Source organism: Homo sapiens, chromosome 5, assembly GCF_000001405.40.
Source record: "Homo sapiens chromosome 5, GRCh38.p14 Primary Assembly".
Classification (NCBI taxonomy): Eukaryota; Metazoa; Chordata; class Mammalia; order Primates; family Hominidae; genus Homo; species Homo sapiens.
The window spans coordinates 87,120,445-87,144,055 of NC_000005.10; the positions used below are offsets into that span (position 1 = coordinate 87,120,445).

Below are 23,611 nucleotides of genomic sequence, written 5' to 3' on the forward strand. Positions count from 1 at the left end.
GCTTGCTTTATCCCAGAGCTCAGAACAGTGCCTGACACTCAAATAGGTTTTAAGCATATGAACAAATGCCTACCTGGTGATAGGCCTTGTGCTTGGGACTTTACCTGCATTAGCTCATTTAAGTCTCACACATCAACACAGATGAGGAAATCGAGATACAAAGAGTAAGTGTCTTGCCCTAGGTCATCCAGCCAATGAACAGCAGTGCCAGAATTCAAATCCTAGCCTAATTGACTAAAGCCAGTGCTATTAACCACCATGAAATGCTTCTTCACTAGACAGGAAACCAGACGATGACTATAGCATACAGTAATCTGAGTTTGGCACAACTCACTGTGATGATAGCATCATTCAGATACAAACTGGAGGAACCAGTTTTAAAGAAGGGTGAGGGGATGCAGAATATTAAGGGAAGCTGAGTGGTCAGGCTGACTCTATGTTATGGTATCAAATTTGGCTTGCCTGAATTTTAATTAGGACAAGAAATATTTCAAAGCACAAATGAGAAGTTATTTTCATCTCTGCTTCTCTCTTTAATTCAGAGTTCTCTAGAAGAAAAACAGGAAATGTTCCTATATTAAGCAAGTGGTATCAAAATCTATCATATCAGTATTGAAAAGCACCAGGTAATTTCTTAGATTCAGAAACCTCAATTTATCCCTAATGAAATACTAAGAAGGCTGCAATAACCAATTACTCAGAAACATTTTGGTGTTTCTTTGGCTGACTTAAACTGAATTATTTCTATATCCAACTGTTTCTATTAGTCATCACAAACTCAAAGACATTAGTTTATTCTGGTACTTTAAAAAATAATACACAATAGAAAAACAAAAACATAGGATGAATAAATGGGAGGAAATATATATCAATTAGTACCATTCATTTTTTATTCATTACTATGGTATTGAAGGACTTTGGCAGGTGACATTGTATATCCAGGCTACTAAGTCTATTTCTGAATGTTTCTACTGCATACCAGAGAAGAGTGAGGCAACAGAGACCAAACTGCCAGCCTTGGACCAGCTAGTAAAGAACGGAAATGAGTCATCCATTTTTCACCCACACTCTTGAAACTAAACCTGAAAAGGAAAAAAAGTTTGATACAAAATAGAACTTGTTTATTCCCCTATCCACATTTGCTAGAACAGTGCCTAGCATAAATGTTTATGGAATAGATGGTTTAATAAATATTTGTTGAATGAATAAACAAGTGAATTTTTTTTTTCTATTTTTCCCTCAAGCTACGAATATGCAGGAAGGCAAGAAAAAGAGAATAATGCTGATTGCCCACAGAACTCGTTTGCTGAGACTACAGACAGTTTTGTAGTCAAGATCCGCTTAGACAAGTAATAGGCATTTTAAACTTAACATACCTGGAGTAGAACTTCTAATTTCCTCCCTTATAAATTGTTCTCCCCCAGTCTTCTCTCAGTAAATGCATTTCCACTTCACGAGCAGCTCAAGGCAAAATCCTAGGGGAGATGCTTGATTCCTCTCTTCCCCTTGTTCTCTATATCCAAACCCTCAATATGTAGACCCTACTCCCAGAGTGTATCCAGAATCTAATTACTATTTCCAGTACTACCATGCTAATCTCACCACCATTGTCAAACACCTGCACTACCACAAAAACCTCTAACTTGTCTCTCCTCTTCTAAGTTTGCCCCTCTGCAATTTAATCTTCATCCAGATGAAAATGTGATCATTTTGAATCATGCATATTCTTTCCTTTCTCTCCTTATAATGCTGAAATCGCTTCCTGTTGTACTTAGAACAAAAGTCCAATCTGTCTCCTCTCTATCACTCTGACCTCATCTTCTGCAACACTGTCCCTTCTGTTGTCACCATGCTGGTGTTCTTTTTTCTTTTTGAACATACCATGCTCTTTCCCATCTCAAGGACTTTGCACTTGCTGTTTCTCTGTATGGAATGCCTTTTCTCCAAATCTTGACGTGGTGGAGTCCTCATCATTCAGGTTTTAGCACAAATACCTCCTTATCTAGGATGCCTTCCCTGACTAAAGCTGACCCTCTCTGCAACATCCACACACAAGGTACATTCTATCACATCACCCTGTTTTATTTTCGTCTTAGAACTTAACACTATCTGAAATTAGTTGATAAATATGTGTGCTTACTTCATTCATCTGTGTCTCCCAATGAGGATGTAATTTTGAAAAAGTAAGAATCTTATTAGTCTTGTTCTTCGTTACATCTCTTGGACTACAGTGAATATTTATTGAAAGAATGAATGTTTTCTGAAAGTCCTTGAGCAGTTTTTGTGGTTGGTTTTGATACTTTGTTGAGTGTTAATTGTTCATTATGTCATTATGTTAAAGGTCTCTGCAATTAGGATACAAAGTATAATTGAGACTGAGTCATTTTCTATTGGTTTTAGAGCAGAATCTGACAGTCCTCTCTTGGGAAAACACTTTTAAACTGCCACTATATCACAGAACCAATTCTGACATATCTATATCAAAAACTAATTTCCTCAATTCTGTGTGTATGGCATCCAAATTTTTTTTCTAAATATTACCTACATTTGGCATGGTCATCATAGCTAAATGATTATTTCAACCACACTTTTTCTGCTGCTTCTCTACCTTCCTTTTCATTTTTACATATATTGGTGATTTCCTAAATGTAAATGGTTGAGTTTAAATGCCAGCAGGGGGTAAAAAAAAGAAATTCTTTGCAAAGGTAGAGAGATTTGTTACTCAGCCAAGTGCTTCTTCAGTAGCTAAGTTCTCATTAGAAAGCTAACTTTTCAGAGTAGCTCAGAGGTGTCATTTAGAATTATTTCATTTTACCAAGCTAGCATGAAATCTCATGACACCCTGAGGCTACTTGTCCTGGAGTGTCACAAAATGACACTCTGTCCCAATCACCACTAAATAATATTAACTCCTAAGCCTGATCTTCAAAGTCTAAGAATACAGCCCACATACATCCAAGGAGAGGGTTTTTTTTCCTAAAAATGATTTTAAATGGTTTTTAGCTTATTGCAATAACCTAGCCTTCATATTTAAATTAGTTGCATTAGAGAGCTATTTGTCATTGCAAACAAAGCTGCATTTGTAGCTTTGGATTCATTTTACAGTACCCGTCATTTGTCCACCTGGCCTTCTACTTGTACACAAATCACAGCATAACTCTGACAAGATATGGTTGTTTTATTTGATTGTTTTAAGTTTTTAAGTTGGAGAGAAGGATCATAACATAACCTAAAAAGGAAGTATATAAATCCTAAAGAAGAAAAATTAAAAGATTTAGATATCCAAGAAAAAATAAAAATTAAAAAGAATCACAGCTATTCAAAAAACAATTCTTCAAAAATAAGAGTTAATAAAATAAGAATTTAAAAGCAATATCATATGTGATACAGAAAACTTGACTATATTATTCATTTTCCAATTCTGTTCAAATGCTAAGTTTTGCAATAACTTACTAATATGAGAAACAAGTGGGCACTAAAGCAACACTGAGATTATTCATTTATACTAGATAATGAAGTAGCAATGTCAAAAATTTCAAGTTACCAGTTAGAGGAGTCTTAAATGGCACTTGCTCCAAGACATGTCTTATTACTTAACATGAGAAATATGAAGACAGAAGACAATAGAGCAGCTTCAAGAACTTTTAAATCTATTTTGAAAAAACACATGTAAAGCCACATAGCCTAAGTGACAAATTAGTGCAAGAGATACTAAATTTTTGAGAGTGTGAACAAAAACTTTATATTACTTTTCCAACCTAAAATATTATTCAATAAAAACTCTATATGAAGTGTACCTTGCTCAATGTCTATCAATATTAATATTTTTAAAAATTAAAAACAGCAACCTTTATTTAGGAATTTATCCTATAAATATGCATCCACCTGGGTACAAAGATAAATAGTTTTAAATGCTGACTGCTGAAAATGTTCATCACTGAAAAGCATGGAAACAGCCTAGATTTCTGACAATAACATACTGAATACACTAAATATATTTATCCAAATAATGTAATACTCTGTAGTAATTTTTAAAGTGAATTAGAATTATAATTTATTGTTATCAAATGTCTAAGAAATACTAAGTTTAAAAGTAAGTTGTCAAACTAAGTATAATTTATTAATCTAAGGATATGTAAAGGTAAATGGTTTTTTATACATAATGGATCATTAAATTTGGCTTATTTTACTGTGAATGCATAGAATGTTTCTGGAAGACACATCTGAAATTAATGTCAGTTATATCCGGGGAGGAACCTATGAGACAAGCAATCAAGGGAGAAAAAAAGTTATTTTCATTATATCACTTTTTTTTAATAATTTAGACTTTTGATCAGGGCACGCATTTGTTTATCAAAAGAAAATGTAAAATATAATGGATAGAAAATTTTAAAATACTGTCTGTATCTTCCTCGTTCATTAAAAAACCCCGATTTCAGTATGATCCAAACTGAGTAGTTGTGACAACTTCTCATTTGAGAATAGAAGTTTATTTGATGGCTTCTTAAAAATTTACTGAACTTTGAAAAAAGTAATTATTGTAACAATGTCTCCCTAAACCGTGCTTTTTCCTGAGCATGACCAGTTTTGTTTTATTGAATTTTGTACATACATACAGATGTGGTGATATAATGGAATTTATTTTTCTTGGAAAGAAACATATATTGAAACAAGGCCATGGTTGACAATGTCTTAGCATTAATTGATTTTTTTCTTATGGTTTCTAACCATATCCTCTACCGAAATATTTTCTACAGTTTCTGTATCTTATAAGTTTCTTTTTAAGGGAGTAATGATTTTCAAACACTCAAATATTATTTATAATAATCAAATAGTTATATGTTAAGAAAGCAAAAATTAAAACCTAAAGAAGTGTTAGCCATTATTATGATACATTGAATAATATTTTTTCATGTTATTATGGCTGAGTTCTGGCTGTGAGAATAAGCCACAGCTGCTTTCTTCAGACACTAAAGAAAAAAAGTATCTAAAGAAAAAAATGTAGTGATTACACATTGATTCAGAGTTTAGTTAATGAAGTGGTTAAAAGGAAACATCATCTGAGAAATATTCTACTTTAATAATATTTTCACAAACAATAAATACTGTATTTATTTGCAAACATTAAAAGCAAAGCTAAAGGGAAAAATAAAAAATTGAACTAATCTAGGCAACTGACTTTCAGACAAATATTTGTAATGACATTTCCTGAGGCTATACCTATTTAAACTAAGTTATTCAGTGTTGGCGGTATAGTGGCCTTCCAATAAATTATTCAAACAATTCAAGTATTTTTAAAATCTCTGTTTTTTTGAATAGCCAGTGAATAAAATTTAAAGCATTTGAGCTTGGTTAACAGGATATATTCCATATATTTCTTTGACAAATGGAGACAAAAAAAAGCAGGCAACAATAAAATGCTCAGTTTTCAGTCTGTTAATACTTCAAAGTATGAACTGGAAAATAATACAAATCAGCACTTATTGTGGGAATGCAGTTCTGTTTAAAATAATTACTCTTGAATTTTTGTGGTAAAGAGTGAATCTGGACACTCTAAATTTTGTGGTAAAGAGTGAATCTGGACACTCTAAAAATTCACAATCCAATAAATGAAATATACTTGACAATCCCTCTGGGAGAGTATATTAGGCAAACTCTGACTTCTGTACTTGCCTTAGGCTCCTATTAAAGGTCAAACAAGTATAGAATTAGGTTGATGGTTCAAAACTATAGAAACTTTTCTAAGTACCACGATTAGAAAAGAGCAAACAGAAATTTTCTCTAAATTGGAAGATGCTATTTTGTGTCACTGTCACCCGAATTCTTAGAGCAAATCCTACTGGAAGATGAGGGCAGTTATTTAATATGTTGTATCAGCCAGGTGCCGTGACTCATGTCTGTAATCCCAACACTTTGGGAGGCTGAGGCAGTAGGATTACTTGAGCCCAGAAGTTCAAGACCAGCCTGGGCAACATGAGACCCTGTCTCTACAAAACATTAAAAAATTAGTTGGGCACGGTGGTGTGCACCTGTCCCAACTATTCAGGAGGCTGAGGCAGGAGGACCACTTAAGCCCAGGAGTTTGAGGCTGCAGTCAGCCATGATTGCACCACTGCACTCCAGCATGGGCAATAGAGCAAGACCCTGTCTCAAAATAACAATAACAATAATAATAAAATGTTGTATGAAATATTTTTGGAAGGAATGGAAGAAGGGAAGGAGTTACTTTATAAGCCTCATAGTTTCTCTAAGACACAAGAATATTTATCCTAACACATAAAATAACTACAATCAGAATCTTCATAAAAAGGGCCTGTCCTAGGCAACATTGCTAAGTCACAAATTTACCTTCTAACACTCTTTACCACCCTCTCTACACACACTTCATCAGTGGCCTTTCCCCTACTAGGATCTTTTCCCTGTAAGATATGATTTCTACCACATGTCAACTAAGATGATAAGTAAAATGTCTATTAATATAGCTTGGTGGTTACTTAGGCATTGACATTTTATTTTTGGACATTTGAATACAAAATGGCCCACAGATCCAAAGGCAGGAAGCTGTAATTCGCTCACACACTATAGCAGACATTATCAGTGCCCTGCTCATGGCCCCTCAGCACTTGCAGGTTTTATACCGTCTACAGCTTCTCACTGCAAACACCTCGGACTGTCTGCCTAAAGGCTTTCTGTCCTATAGGAGTGAGCTCAGGAAGGAAGTAATAGACAGTTGACTGTCCTCAGCAGCAGCCTTCACCCAATAAAATATGGGAGTTCAACATCATTGCTCAGAGATCCCCAGTAGAAATGAGCCCCATTGGCCCACAGTGGTAAACTACTCATTAGGGTCCCCTTTTCTGTATTCCTTTCTCCTTTTTTCTTGTCTCACTTCACTCTTCTAATGGGGCTTCCTGGGCTTACCTTCCAAATAAACTACTTGTACTTGAACCCTTATTTTAGGGTCTGCTTTCAATGGAACACAACCTAAGATACTCATTCATTCTTTACATAAGAACATTTATTTAGCTTATTCTAGGGACTGAGAAATGTAACTGGCAATGAGAATGGAATATGGATCTTAAGAAGAAGTAAGTGAATATTGTCAACCAGGGAGCTGTGTTTTGCATTCCTCAAACTTACCTCATACAAAAGACCACATCCTCCATCGCCTTCTATAACTAGCTCTGTTCATTATTGCTCATGCTTTTCTTCAGTCAAAATTAGTCATATACTGAAGATTACTTTGAGCTGCAAGAATTGTTTTTAAATCAAGTCATGTTTGGTTCTCATCTCTCTCAGCACCTTTAATACTTCAACCCACTCATTCAATTTGACCATTTTAATTCTTATTTTCTCTTTCACCTCTGCAACATTCTTTTGGCTGTTCTTAATGCAAAGCAATGTATCACATCACAGTAGCCAATATGACTCTGTCCCTGTTTTCTCATATCCAAAAATTCCTTTATTCATCTTCATGCTTTCCCCAAGGAAGTAAAAAGCAGTTTCCCAATATTTAGCCACCTTTAAATGTTTCATCCCAGTTCCAGCATATCATAATATTACAATTTAATACACAAACAGTCTGGAGTTAGAGATTATTATCTTTTGTTTCACAGATTAGAAAACTGTGACTTTTTGCCTCTAAAGTTATGACATTTCTACGTATTCTACTGTACTCATCCCATGATCATACACAAAGAACTTAAATGCATTTTTTCATGCTCTTCTTGCTCATTCCTGAGAGTCTGTAAAATGCTCAGCATCCAAATATTTATACTGGCATTTGAAGAATCATATGCTTATATTTGATTAACACTGACCAATTGTTAAGAATATCTTCAAATGATATTTTTATTGATGAGCTATATTTCTTGTGAGTCAGACTTATTAAAGAAGTCTCTTTTCTAAATTCAGGTAATAATTCATGCAAAAAATACCTTTCTTTAAACAAAATACTTTTTACCTGGGAAATGTTCCAATGGCTCATCTGCCAGTTAACGTCTCTGTTTCCGCCACTAAAATTTCCCTTCAAGTATCTGCATTCTTGGCATCCTGACAAGGCCACCTCCTCCATCTGTGAGTTCATGCATCACACTGGTACCTGAGGAAATGCTTATGTAGTAATTTTTTCTTTGAGAAAAACACTTTGCTTTTAGCTTGTACTTTTGCAGGTTATTTATTTTCAGAGATTCCCCAAAATAGTACATATTTTAACCTTTCTACTTGTAAGGATGTTACCCACTGGCAAGCCAGTGGTACCAAAAGAAAAAGACCCTAAGGGAATGTGCTGAGCCTGTCAGGTATGGGATATCTAGCACATTCCAAGGAGGAAAGGCTAGTGGACATCTTGTTTCAGGTCCAAATCTTGTCTCTGTAAGTAGTAGTCATTTTGCCAAAGTGATTATTTGAAAATACTCCAGTTCAATTCACTAGTAACAAACCCATCATATTGTGTAGATTTAAGTTCATGCTTTATTTCAGCTGTGTGAAGATACTGCAACAGCTTTGAAAAAGCAAATAGCCAAAGTAAAAATGGAGGAGAAAATGGAAAGAATAGGCACTTAAGTTTTTCATAAATCTAAAAGGATCCCAGATAATGAAGAATTCGATTTATTTGCTTCCTAGATTTGGTGCTCAAAATGACTGGAAACAGGAGAACATCTGTCTGTGATTCAGTAGTTCCAGATTAAAGGAAGGCACTTCCTTTAGAAATGATCATTCAAAATGATTCAGAAAAGAATGGAATATTTTTAGTAAGTCATTTACTCAAAACACTTTGGTGGGACTGCTGGAAGAGCAAATATCAATTTATTCCCAGAGGACATGGCTAAATAGTCAGGAATGAAATAAAGACTATGCCATTTGAGACTAAATATGAAAACAAGAGCAAGGAGTAACATAAGAACATGTTTTTGCCTCACAAATAAAAACCATCCAAAGGGAAGCCAGGATTGAACAGTAGAGTAAATATAAGAAATAAGTAAGAACTGAGAGCAGGCATATATGGTCACTAATCTACTAAGGGAAGACTCTCTATTATTGCTATATAGGGTAGACATATGACCTTTAAATTTTTATTAACAGAATCAGAAGAGAGCCTCATGCAGGAAATACACACTGTAGGCCATATCCAACTTTCCTTTCTCCCAGTACCATTTTAGCAAGTCGCTAAGATGTTTTTACTTTAAAAGTTCTTTTTTGTTCGTTTGTTTGTTTGTTTGTGACAGTCTTGCTCTGTCGCCAGGGCTGGAGTGCAGTGGTGTGATCTCGGCTCACTGCAACCTCCGCCTCTCAGGTTCAAGCGATTCTCCTGCCTCAGCCTCCCAAGTAGCTGGGACTACAGGCGTGCGCCACTATGCCTAGCTGATTTTTTTTTATATTTTTAGTAGAGATGGGGTTTCACCATGTAGGTTGGCCAGGATGGTCTCGATCTCTTGGCCTCGTGATCCACCCGCCTCGGCCTCCCGAAGTGCTGGGATTACAGGTGTGAGCCACCACGCCTGGCCTGAAAGTCCTTCTTAATGGCTTAGTATTATTTAGAATAATGGCTAGTGTTGTTCATGAAATGAAGTACCCTCCACAAAATCAATAGCTATCAACACAAGCAAACGCTGCTATAACTTGGAATAAACAGAGAAAATGGGAAATAGTGAGACCTTGTTTCTAAAAATCATTTTTAGATAGGAGAAATTTCTGTCAGCAAAAATAATGACTCATGCCTCTAGAACTCTGAGAAAATGCTAAAATCAATGGCATAATTTTCAAAGTTAATAAATTTCCAATTATAAAAATAATATAAACAGATGCTGGCAAAGCTGCAGAAAAAAAGGGAATGCTTATGCACTGTTGGTGGGAATGTAAATTAGTTCAGCCACTATGGAAAGCAGTTTGGAGATTTCTCAAAGAACTTAAAACATAGCTACCATTTGACCCAGCAATCCCATTACTGGGTATATATCCAAAAGAAAAATCGTCTACCAAAAAGACACATTCACTCATAGGGTCATCGCAGCACTGTTCACAATAACAAAGACATGGAATCAACCTAGATTCCCATCAACAGTGGATTGGATAAAGAAAATGTGGTACATATGTATCATGGGATACTACCTAGCCATAAAAAAGAATGAAATCACATCCTTTGAAGCAAAATGCATGCAGCTGGAGGCCATCATCCTAAGCAAATTAACACAGGAACCAAAAAACAAATATCGCATGTTCTCACTTATAAGTGAAAGCTAAACATTGAGTACTCATGTACATAAAGAGGAAAATAATAAACACTGGGGATACTAGACTCGGGAGGGAGGAAGGGAAGCAAGGATTGTAAAATTAACTATTGGGTACTATTCTCAGTAGTTGTGTGATGGGATCATCATACCCTAAACCTCAGCATCACACCCAGGTAACAAACCTGCACATGTACCCCCTGAATTGAAAATAAAAGTTGAAATTATTTTTAAAAATAGTAGTAGGTATAAACTAGAAAACAGTAAACAAATGTTTAAAAAATTTACATTTCAGCAACAGTCACCATTCATATTTTGAAAAATTTTCTTCTAGTTTTCCTCACCATATTTTGATACCATAACTGAGATTTCATTGTAAGCATTGTTTTGCATCCCGCCTTTTTCTACTATTATAAGACCAATGTTCTGCCTTGTTATTGTAAATTTTTAATGGCAGGAAAATATTACATTGAACAGGTAAACCGTGTTTTCTTAACTAACATTTTATTGATGATTTTTTATCTTTTGAATTTCGGTGTTGTGATAAATATGTTTGTTAATGAAGCTTTTTTAATATGTCTGATTTATTTTTTAAGAGCAGCTCCCAGAATTGTAAATACTAGGTCATACATTATGAACAATTTGAAGAATCTTAAAACGTGAAGCTAAATTGCTTTCAAGTATGTTTTCTAATCCATGTCCCTCCAACTGTGCATGCAAATTCAGACACTTTTCAGAAAAGTCTAAGTCTACTTCACACCAATTCCAAAATAAATTATCCTAAGGAAACAAAAATGACATATTAAATGTTTTTTAATGCCTAATATTACTTCAATTTTAAGTACAGAATTGTCGAATTTTTATTGTAAAGGTCCTGCTGCTATGTGTTTTCCAAGCAGCCTTAAATCCATTTTAGAAGATTAAGCAAAATTAATTAATGTCCAATTTTATGCAATATTAAATGATAAATATATCTAGAACAATGATAAATATATCTAGAACATGTATATCCTATCTTATAGAACTTAAAACATAAGGTTGTAGTTTAGTAATTAAAGTTTATAATTGTTATAAACATGATTGTTATATAATTGTTATATCTTTGCTTTTCCCATGTGGTCGAAGCTATGATTTACCTTTCTCTATACAAGGGCCCCCCAATTAGAGCATTATTTCTGTGGAGAAAACTGACCCTAATGGCATGATCCTCTTTTCTAGTCATTTCCATAAAGACTATGTGGTGGATATAGAGCCTTTTCAGTAGTTCTTCAGTAGTTCTATGAGAACATAACCCACTTCATTCTCTGGGTTCACTTAAAAGCTATTGAGTCCCTCCGCCATGAAGGCATGACACTAGGCAATGAGTAGTCAAATATGGAAAGGCATTGATTTGGTGAGGAGACATACCTGGGGCTGTGAAGTGTATGTCATGGGAGCACAGAAGGCACATTTAATTAACTCACCAAGAGATAAGGTATTATTTGAGCTACAACTTTTAAAATGAAAGCTTTGTCAGAGAATATTGGAGAAAGCATTACAGATAATGAGAACAACACATGCAAAGACATAAGTCCAATACATTCTGGGAGACAGAGTTAATTCCATGTGAGGGAGTAAAACAGGGCTGAGCTTGGAACACTGGGGAGAGACATAATGTAGAACAGGTCTGAGGGGGCTACATCATGCATTGTATGCTGATGTGTTAGAAAGCAGTTTCGATTGTATTTTGTAGATAATGGGAAACTATTGAATACACTTGCCAGGAAAAGATTTTTGTGTCATAATTATAACTCTGACATCTATGTAATAAATAGTTTGAGGTAGAAAGAGTCTATGCATAAAAACACTTGTGAAGTTATTACATGAGCTCAGGAGAAACATTAGTGTATAAATTAGGGTAGTGAAAGCTAGAAGGGAAAATAAGGTAGTAAAATACCATATTTTAAGAAAGGTAGTAAAAACAATAAGACTTAGGAAATGATTGAATATGGAGAATGTACTCCTAGAACTGATTTTGTAAAAATTATCTCAGTGGTGGGTTATTCAGTAAGATCTCATTTATTTATTACAATTGGGAGGAAAAGTCTATTTGATTTGTCCCAAGTCTAAATTATAGAATATTTGTCATTAAAAGATACTTTAATATATAGTTAAGCATCACTCAACAATAGGAATATGTCCTGAGAAATGAGTCATTAGGCAATTTCATCATGTGTGAACATCAGAGAGTACATTTACACAAACCTAGATAGTATAGCCTACTACATACCTAGGCTCTGTGGTATAGCCTATTGTTCCTAGGCTATAAACCTGTACAGCATGTTACTGTACTAAATACTGTAGGCAGTTGTAACACAATGGTATTTATGTATCTAAACATATCTAAACAAAAAAAATGTAGAGTAAAAACACAGTATAAAAGATAAAAAAAAAAAAAAGATACACCTATATAGGGCACTTACCATGAATGAAACTTGCAGTACTGGAAGTTGCTCTGGGTGAGTCTGTGAGTGAGTGGTGAGTGAATGGCCTAGGACATTATTGGACACTATTATAGACTATTAACTCTGTGTACCTAGGTTATACTACATTTATCTTTTAAAATTTGTACCTCAATAATAAATTAATCTTAGTTGACTGTAACATTTTACTTTATAAACTTTTTAATTTTTTAACTTTTTGGCACTTTTATAACACCTAGCTCAAAACACAAACACATTGTGCAGCTGTACAAAAACATTTTCTTTCTTTCTTTGGTTTTGTTTTGTTTTGTTTTTGTAGAGACAGGGTCTTGTCATGTTGACCACACTGGTTGCGAAGTTCTGGGCTCAAGCAATCCTCCTGTCTCGGCCTTTCAAAGTGCTGAGATTACAGGGGTGAGCCATTATTCTACAGGTTTTTATCTATTAAAAAAAATTCTTTTTTATTACTTTTTAAACTTTTTTGTTAAAAATGAAGTCACAAACACATTATCCGAGGCCTACATAGGGTCAGAATCATCGAGACATCACTAGGCAACAGGAATTGTTCAGTTCCATTATCATCTTATGCGACCACTGTCACATATGCAGTCGAGAGAAATGTCATTATGCACAAAGCTGACAAAAACAAGCAATGGGGAAAGGACTCCCTATTCAATAAATGGTACTGGGAGAACTGGCTAGCCATATGCAGAAGGTTGAAATTAGACCCCTTCCTTATACTATAAACAAAACTCAAGTCAAGATGAATAAAAGACTTACATTTAAAACCTAAAACTATAAAAACCCAGGAAATAGCCTAGGTGATACCATTCTAGACATAGGAACCGGCAAAGATTTCATGACAAAGATGCCAAAAGTAATTGCAAAAAAGCAAAAATTGACAAATGGGACCTAATTAAACTTAAGAGCTTCTGCACAGCAAAAGAAACTATCAACAGAGTAAACAGACAACCTGCAGAATAGGAGAAAATATTTGCAAACTATGCATCTGACAAAGGTCTAATATCCAGAATCTATAAGGAATTTAAACAAATTTACAAGAAAAAAAACAAACAATCCCATTAATTAGTGGGCAAAGGACATGAACAGGCACTTCTCAAAAGAAGAAATACATGTGACCAGCAAGCATATGACAAAAAGCTTGATATCACTGATCATTAGAGAAATGCAAATCAAAACCACAATGAGATACAATCTCACACCAGTTAGAATGGCTGTTATTAAAAAGTCAAAAGATAACAGGTGTTGGCAAGGTTTTGGAGAAAAGGGAACACTTTTAGTTCAACCATTGTGAAAAGCAGTGTGGCAATTCCTCAAAGAGCTAAAAACAGAAATAACATTCGACTCAGCAATCCTATTACTGGGTATATACCCAAAGGAATGTAAATCATTCTACCATAAAGACACATGCACATGTATGTTCATTGTAGCACTATTCACAATAGCAAAGACATGGAGTCAACCTAAATGCCCATCAACAGTAGACTAGATAAAGAAAATATGGTACATATTCACCTTAGAATACTATACAGCCATAAAAAAGAAAAAGATCATGTCCTTTGCAAGAACATGGTTGGACCTGGAGGCCATCATCCTTAATGAACTAATACAGGAACAGAAAACCAAGTACTGCATGTTCTCACTTATAAGTGGGAGATAAATGATGAGAACACATGGACATGTAGAGGGGAATAACAGACACTGGGGCCTACTTGAGGTTGGAGGGTGGGAGGAGGGAGAGAATTGGAAAAAATAACTATTAGGTACTAGGGTTATCACCTGGGTAATGAAATAATCTGTACCACAAACTCCTGCAACATGAGTTTACCTATATAACAAACTTGCACATGTACTCCTGAACCTAAAATAAAAGTTAAAGAAATCTCATTATGATTATGCAGTTCATGACTGTCTTTATGCACAGAAAGTTTGCCAGTCACACTTTCGTGGCATTTAAAAATGAATAAAGGAAATTTTGGCAAAAGGAAGGACCCACATGGGAAAGCTTTAGTCTATCAGACAACACTATGACCACATTTAAGATATTGTATTAGTTTGCTAGGGCTGCCATAATAAAGCACCATAGACTGGGTGGCTTAAACAATTAAAATTTATTTTCTCAAAATTCTGGAAGCTAGATGTCTGAGATCAAGGTATCAGCAGGCTTCATTTCCTCTGAGGCCACTCTCCTTGTTTTGTAGATGTCTGTCTTCTCACTATGTCCTCACATGGTGTTCCCGCTGTGCCTATCTGTGTCCTAATCTCTTATAAAGAGACCAGTCATGTTGAGTTAGCACCCACCCTAATGGGTTCTACCTTAATTAGTTTCTAGAGACCCTATCTCTAAAATGGTCACATTCTGAGCTATTGGGGGGTTTCAACATATGAATTTGGATGAGGGGAGGGGGCGCACAATTCAGTCCATAAGAGATATGGGTGGGTTAATGGTCTCTAAAGGCATTTTCATTACTACACCATTAAAGTTTAGGAGGGGAGAGGGGAGGGAGGAGGGATAGCATTAGGAGATATACCTAATGTTAAATGACGAGTTAATGGGTGCAGCACACCAACATGGCACATGTATACATATGTAACTAACCTGCACGTTGTCCACATGTACTCTAAAACTTAAAGTATAATAAAAAAATTAAGAATAAATGTAATATGAAGGAGGTTATAAAAGTTAAGAAAATTTTAGCAAAACGATTTTCTAAAATTAAAGCACCTACATTCAATTACTATTCCCAGCTAATGAATGAATGCCTTCTCAATACTGACTAATATGGTATATTTATTCACAAGAAAGACCTAGGAATGGCATAAAACAAATCGTGAAGATATTTCATTACAATTCAACAATGTTTATCAAAAAAACTTGTCAAGTTCATTGTATATTTCACATTTGCTTGTAAGTGAAATTGGATTATTTGATTCAGAAATGAGAATCTGGGCTGGGTGCTGTGGTTCATACCTGTAATCCCAGCATTTTGGAAAGCCAGGGCAGGAGGATCACTTGATCCCAGCAGTTCCAGACCAGCCTGGCAACAGCAAGAGACTCTATCTCTACAAAAAGAAGTTTAAAAATTAGCCAGGCATGGAGGTGCACGCTAGCAATCTCAGCTATTTGGGAGGGTGAGGTGGAAGAGGCACTTGAGTGCAGAAGTTGAAAGTTACAGTGAACTATGATGTAGTCACTGCACTCCAGCCAGGATGACAAAGCAAGACTCTGTCTCTAAAAACAAAAAAGAAAAGAAATGGAAATGAAAAGCCAATTAAAGAAGCTTTTGTTATTGTTTAGATGGGTTCACACCCAGACTTTAAAAAACTGAGACTTTCATAAACAAAATCAAAATTTGTAAAGGACTGAAAATTACCAGTAGTCAGGGAATGTGTTCTGTATGGTGCAAAAACAGCATATTAAATGAAACTTCTCTGTAGAATTTCAGACTGAAAAGATCTAATGTCAGGTTTTATGTTTTAATCAATTTGGGGGCCTGTTTATTTAACTGGGGTTTTTTGGTGGTGGTTGTTTTAATTTCTACGTTGGAACACAACATACTGTGCTCCAAAATCTAAGAGCCTATAATTTTCTGGGTTTTATTTTTCTTAACAAAATGAAATGTTAAACCATCTCTCTGGGCACTTTTGATAAAATATGTATTACAAAAAGCAATAAGACATTCAGAGCAAAGAACAGGATCTAATAATGCTTATCATAGCACTGTGAAAAGCAAGAATTTCAGGTCCTCCTCCCACCTCCTTCATTTCCTCTCTGTAGCCCCAAATGTGACAATTTCTTAGTTCCAACTCTCCCTTTGTAAGAAACAGTGCATAAAAGTAGCTATTTGTTTCACATTTTGTTAGCATGCGTGTGGGCAGGTGGGTAGCATCTTACTGGGTAGCATCCAGTAAGAATTCTGAAATTCTTAAGAGTATATCTTGCTATTAATATATTATTACAGTCATGAAAATCAAGTTACCCAGTTGCCAAGCTGTAATAACAACAAATAATAACAAAAAGACCTGAGTGAGGAACTGATGATAGAAAGTAATATTTATTGTATTCCTACTATGAATTAGTGTGTTAGATTATTTGCATACATTATTAAATATTTTCTTAAAATAGATTAGGAAACTAAGATTTGAGAAGGTGAAATGATTTTCCCAGATTACTAGAGCGAGCCAACAGCAGAAGTGGTATTTGATAATAAGTCTGGACTCCATCTCAAAAAAAAAAAAAAAAAAGAAAAGAAAAGAAAATAAGTCTGACTTTCAAATCATGCTCATTTCCCCACAGCATGTTCCAGAAGGCCAGGGCGGTCGGTTCTGCTGCACAAATGAGGTCAGAGCAATCAAGAGAGCCAAGGAAGTCCTACTTATCTGGATTAAATAACTCAATCTACAAACTACTCAACTTTAATATAAGGTGGAAAATAGGATTTCAAAAGAAAAGAAGAAGGAGAAGAACAAGGACAAGAAACTGAGTTTTGGCAGAAGGCAAGTGAGCAATTAAAAATAAATCTTTCATGATTTGCTCCCACAGGCAAAAAATATAATAATATTTTTCAATCCTGCTTAACCCAAAATAATCTGAGATATTTAAAGTATTACAACCACTGGTGACAAACCAGGGAGTTTATTATGTTCTTTCACAAGCAGAGACGTCTCAGGAGTCGGGTAGTACATATGACAAGGAACCAAGTTACCCACATAACAGTGTGCAGCTTTCTGTCACATATGAAAAGGCTGCTGTGTCTGCACCTCACAGCAGTTGGGAATTCCATTTTACACAAACTAGGCCAGAAAATCTACTCTCCATTCTGGCTGAGAAACCAGGATATTTTTTAATCCTAGTAGGCATTCAGACACAAATGGAGTCAAAGCCAGAGAGAAATTTGCACACCTTCCAAACCAATACTTCACTACAAATAGGGGTCAGTGTCTTAAGGCACACCAGTAGTTAATAGCAGAATCCCATATTAGAAAGCTCAACATTTCAGAAACCCAACCAATACTCCAAAATAAATGCATCATTTTATTTGCAAAGTAGGGCATCATTACCTAAAGATAACAGCATCTGCAGAAATACTTACTTAGCAACTAAATCACAAGGTCTTCCTTAGAGCTTCCTTTAGGCTAGAAATAGTCCCTGCTTAGCCAGCTGGCCTGAAAAACTAACGACAAACATAAAAATCAAAAGAATTCCAGAGCTCATCGTAGCCCTCATCTGCTCAAAAGGGTGTCTGTAGCACTTTTTTGAGATTGAGGGTTATAAAGCTAGTGGTAGGGGGAAATGCCTGGATTTTCTTCCTTTGTGGAATGTTTTTATACCTGGAAATATCTACTGTTCTAGTTAATCAAATGTACAACTTTTTCTTCAACTGTTACTTAAACTTAAGGTTGAAACTATTGCCAACAGTTGAAACAAGCCAAGGCAGATTTTAGACACTGGACTGTGTCAGCACTGGCCATAACTGCAGTGCATCTAGGTCCATGAGAACACTGAGTAATGCTTGTTTCCAGGCAGCCAAAGAGATCTTAAAGGAAGATACTTTACTGTTCTGTTTCTAGAAACACATTTTAGAAGCTCCCATTGCTGCTATCCTAATTTTGTTGTGATTTCCAAATGTATTTTATTTGCAAAGAAAGCAAACACTTCCATATTAATGAAATGCTGATTATAAAGAAAAATAAGCTTATGTCATATTTTATCCCTTTAATTTACAATGAAGTATATTTTAAATTCACACATGAGCATGTGGAAAGAAAGAGATAATAATTCCACAATGAATTATCTGTAGAAAATGTTATTTCTAATTTACTTTTGACCTAAACATAAGGGCAGAAAGATTCATAGATGACTATTCTAACAGAGCTTGCTTGAATCACTCATATCATTTTATTTTCATTGAGCCCTAGTTATCCAAAAGATACTGTGGTAAGTGCTGAGGAAATAGGAAGAACTATGAGATAAACTCCAGCTTTCTTGACATCTGATCTGAGTAAAGTTAATAAACACACAATTAAAATGCAGTGCAGGTCAGTATATAAAAAGTATCCTGCACACCAAGTGCATAGTTCAAGGGACTTCCTATCAGGAATTATGAGGGAAACTTCTGCCTCAATCAGTAGTCTGCAAACTACAGCCCACAGGCCAAATCTACCTGTCACCTGTTTTTAGATGGCCCATGAGCTGAGACTAGTTTTTAACATTTTTAAATTGTTAAACAAAACTGATTGAACAAAACTAAACAGGAGAATAGTATATCATGACACATGAAAAATATTTAAAACTGAATGTTCAATGTCAGCAAGTAAAGGGTTTGTTGTTGTTGTTTATTTGTTTGTTTTAAGAGACATGGTCTCTTTCTGTCACACAGGCTAGAATACAGTGGTGTGGGCCTACTTCACTGCAGCCTGTAACTCCTGGGCTCAAGTAATCCTCCCATCTCAGCCTCTTGAGTAGCTGGGACTACAAGCACATGCCCAGCTAAATTTTTTATTTTGTTGTATGGACAGGATCTGCCTATGCTGACCAGGTTGGTACAAATGAAGTTTTATTGGAACACAGCTACACCCATTCCTTTGTATATTATCTATGTCTGCTTTCATGCTACAACAGAGTTGAATGATTACCACAATTACTGTATGGCTCAGAAAGCCTAGAATATTTGTTGTCTGGCCCTTCACAGGAAAAAAAAAAAAAAGTCAATTCCTGGCCTAGAGGATTGAGAGAAGCTTTATGATTGACCTGTATTTTGAAGGAAAGAAGTTTGTACTGGCAAAGTCATAAGTGAGGGGTGATTTTGGGGGAAAGGAATGTGCCAGCATAGCACTGGAAAGACACCTGGCTTACTCAGAAGGTAGTGAACACATCAGTGCCACTGGGGTGAAAAGCTTATGAAGAAACTTAAGATGAATGATGCATACTGAAAAGACAGGTGGGGCTCATCTTGAGGACAGTCTTGAATGCTTGGCTTGAGGATGGGGAGGAAAGAAGTACTTCCCATGCCCCTACACCACTTCTATTTTCCTGTGGAAAATAAAGACCAAGTAAGCATTTTTTTAAAAAAACTGAAGAGTGACCTATTCAAAGGAAATTTGATAGAAAAACCTTCCATCAACTAATTTGGCAACAATTGTGTAGAATGGAAGGTTGGTAGGAAGAGAATAATAAAAAGATAAAGGATATTAAAAACAAAGATTTAGTTAGAAGACTCTTAAATTGTTCTATCAGTAAAAAAGCAAGACAAAGAGAGAACTGTGTGGCTGCCTTATGGATATCTGTACACCCAAAGATCTACATAGAGAACACACTTAATGTACAATGGGCAAATAAAGGCACAAATGGATAAAAGGGCAGTAGGAAAGAGGGAAGTGGAGATGAGAAGGACCGCAGGAAATGGGGAAAGGAAAACATTGATGGATTTTGGCAACTGACTGAGTGAAGAAAACAAAAAATAGACACATTAGTAGATTAAGGTAAGCAAGGAAACCATGTTTAACATTTAGCTTTACCCATGCAGAATTTTAGGCAACAAAAGGTCATTCACAAGAAACTGTCTAGCAGCAATTGGAAATGTGAGACGCTAGCTCTGGAGCAAGATCAGTCAAGATAGGGATGAGAAGCACCCATCTATTCTTCAGAGATAAGTCTAACAATCCCAACGTGCTTCTCATGAATAACTGGCAGGAACTTACTATGCCTAGATTTATTTTAGGATGGGTATGCAACTTTCTAAACCTTCCAGAGTGAGTTATATAGACAGAATTTCTCACTGTGCAGCAGTTTGCATCGTATATTAAAGATGAACTTATTAACATGACATTCATTGTCCTCAGAGATTCCACAATCACATCACAATTTGCACTAACAAAAAGAGGAAGGGAAGGAGAGAGGGAGAGAGGGAAAGAAGGAGAGAGAAAGGGAGGGAGGGGGAGAGGGAGGGAGGAAGGGAGGACAGAAGGAAGGAAGAAAGGAAGAAAGGGAGGGAGGGAGGAAGGGAGGGAGAGAGGGCAGGCGAATGGAAGGGAGGAATGAAGTGAGAGAGAAAGAGAAGCATTAAGGCACCATTCTGTTACTGGCAAACAATCGCTTGCTTCTGGAAAATTTTGACACAGACTAAATGAATAGTAGAAAATACTGATTTCATTTTATCCGTTTTCCCTCACCTAGATATTTCTTAAATGGAGTCTAGAAAATAGGTTTTTCAAAGTGTGCTTATAAATATTATGTATTTATTTGCAAGGCTGCTCTGGAATACTTCCCTGATCATGCCCATTTCCAGCAATTATCATTTTAAATTATGTTTTAACAACTAAATGATCCCAGGAGCACAGAAAGGGGCATATAACAATTTCACGGTGTGATACCCTTTCTATGAACTGTACTGACGCCAGTGGATTACAATAAATAAGGCAGCTTTTACCTCCAGCAAACTTAACCAAAACCATACACATATATCCACAAAAACCTGTAGGCAGTTCCACATTTTCTTGATGAACACTGGGCTTTCTTGAAATGTATACTTAGCCATGGAGGCTAGAAAGTATCTCTCTCTGTTTTATAAGCATCATTATCAGAACAATGGTATGCAGGGAATGAAACATATCTCCACTGGGATTTATGTTCACAAAGAATTCAGAAAGCACAGAATCTGCACCTGCTACAAGATAATATTGGGCATGGAATTAAAAAATAAAATTTCAACACAAAGCTAAAGATATTTACACTAGTTGGGATATTTACTGTACTGAGTTATGAGAAAATTAAAATTTAACCTCTTATAAAGGCACCCAAAGTCCAGAATATTAAGATACTATAAGATACAAAGAATTTAGATTTGTACTGGAAAACAATAGAAAAGATACTACAGATCAGATTACAGTGGAAGGAAGGGAAGGGCGGACAAGGTCCTGCCAGTTCTTTTTTTTTTTTTTTTTTTTTTTTTTTTTTGAGACCGAGTCTCGCTCTGTCGCCCAGGCTGGAGTGCAGTGGCACGATCTCAGCTCACTGCAAGCTCCACCTCCCGGGTTCACGCCATTCTCCTTTCTCAGCCTCCGGAGTAGCTGGGATTACAGGCGCCCGCCACCACGCCTGGCTAATTTTTTGTATTTTTAGTAAAGACGGGGTTTCACCGTGTTAGCCAGGATGGTCTCGATTTCCTGACCTCATGATCCGCTGGCCCCGGCCTCCCAAAGTGCTGGGATTACAGGCGTGAGCCACCGCGCCCAGCCCTGCCAATTCTTACTATTAATTCTGCCCACATACACATCTTATACTAAGTTTTCTACTTTTAATTGAGTTAGAGAATGCCCCAGACTCTACACTCTGGTCGTCCTGTCAGAAGTAACACTGAGACCGTCAAGGATGGGAACAAGACCTCAAATGCTTTTCTAGGTCTTTATTTGCAGCCTGTTACACATGATATTGACCATCCTTTCCCCAAATAATTAAGATGACTCTTTCCACCTCTACTCTGTAACTGAGGGCCCTCTTGTCACCTTATGACTGTGGGACAATGAAATGAACAGGAATACTTAAAGCTGCCTACTAAAGCCCATGACCAGTCTGCCATGCTGACTAATTTTGAGAAAAAAAAATTAAACCTTTGAGAAAAACTAAGGACTTTTTCTTAAGGATTTTATTTATTACACCTGTTCCTCTATGCATCCCTTTTTCTCTTGAACTAAAATACTCATTTACTACAAGAGGAAAGCGTGAAAGAAACCTTCACATGTTATACCTATTACTCACTTCTCACAAGAACATGAAGGACAACACTGTCCATGTAATAGTGAGCAGAGAGGTAGTTAAGAATTTCAAATACCAGAGTGAGTTCCAAGATTTATACTCCACCCCAGCCCACCTTTCTTTATATCAATTACAGAACCAAATAGCCTCTCTCTCTCTCTTTCTCTCTCTCTCTCTCTCACACACACACACACACACTCCAAACCCCCCAGTAAGTTAAGAACATTCACAGATGTACATCACATGCAAATCTATGTAGTAGAAACTGTGACCAGCTCTGTACCTTATTTGGTTTTGTCCCTGCTGGATTCAGCTGCCCCTACCCTAGCACTGGCATAATTTTGCCATCAATGGAAAGAGTATATTCATATCAATCCCCTATTAGTCAACAGAATAATTAGCTGTCATCAAAAAATAACTCAGTCAGCTGGGCATGGTGGCTCATGCCTGTAATCCCAGCACTTTGGGAGGCTGAGGAGGGTGGATTGCTTGAGGTCAGGAGTTCAAGATCAGCCTGGCCAACATGGTGAAACCCTGTCTCTACTAAAAATACAAAAATTAGCTGGGCGTGGTGGTGCATGCCTGTAATCCCAGCTACTTAGGATGTTGAAGCACGAGAATCGCTTGAACCTGGGAGGCGGAGGTTTCAGTGAGCTGAGATCGAGATCGTGCCACTGCACTCCAGCGTGGGCGACAGAGCAAGACTCTGTCTCAAAAAAAAAAAAAAAAAAAAAAAAGTAACTCTGTTAGTAAAATCTGTAACACTCTCTAATTTAGTAAGTATAGCCTGCAAAGGTAATCCATACTTGCTTTCTTCCCCTGCTTCATTTCCCACTCCCCTCTTCTCATATCCTACTGTAACATCATCTGCATAGAATTATCTTTCTAATCCATAATACGCCATACTCTTTCATGATTCTGGGTCTTTGAAAATATTATTCTTTTTTTCTCTTCAACTTTTAAGTTCCGGGATAGATGTTCAGGATGTGTAGGTTTGTTACATAGCTAAATGTGTGCCATGATGGTTTGCTGCAAAGATCAACCCATCACCTAAGTATTAAGCCCAGCATCGATTACTACTCTTCATGATGCTCCCCCTCCCCCTAGCCCCACTCCTGATGGGCCCCAGTGTGTGTTGTTCCCCC

General features: G+C 36.3%; 2 long non-coding RNA genes across 2 annotated transcripts in view; one reads left to right on the plus strand and one right to left on the minus strand.

Annotated features, from left to right (window-relative positions):
- MIR4280HG (MIR4280 host gene) overlaps nt 1-1,751 on the minus strand; it is a 73,290-nt gene extending 71,539 nt beyond the window's left edge. Inside the window, exon 1 of the long non-coding RNA NR_186582.1 lies at nt 1,377-1,751. This is a non-coding gene — a long non-coding RNA (MIR4280 host gene). The remainder of the gene's footprint in view (nt 1-1,376) is intronic.
- The window catches only part of LOC101929380 (uncharacterized), a 127,874-nt gene that overhangs the window by 297 nt on the left and 103,966 nt on the right, over nt 1-23,611 (plus strand). Inside the window, exon 2 of the long non-coding RNA NR_105018.1 lies at nt 17,010-17,209. This is a non-coding gene — a long non-coding RNA (uncharacterized LOC101929380). The remainder of the gene's footprint in view (nt 1-17,009; nt 17,210-23,611) is intronic.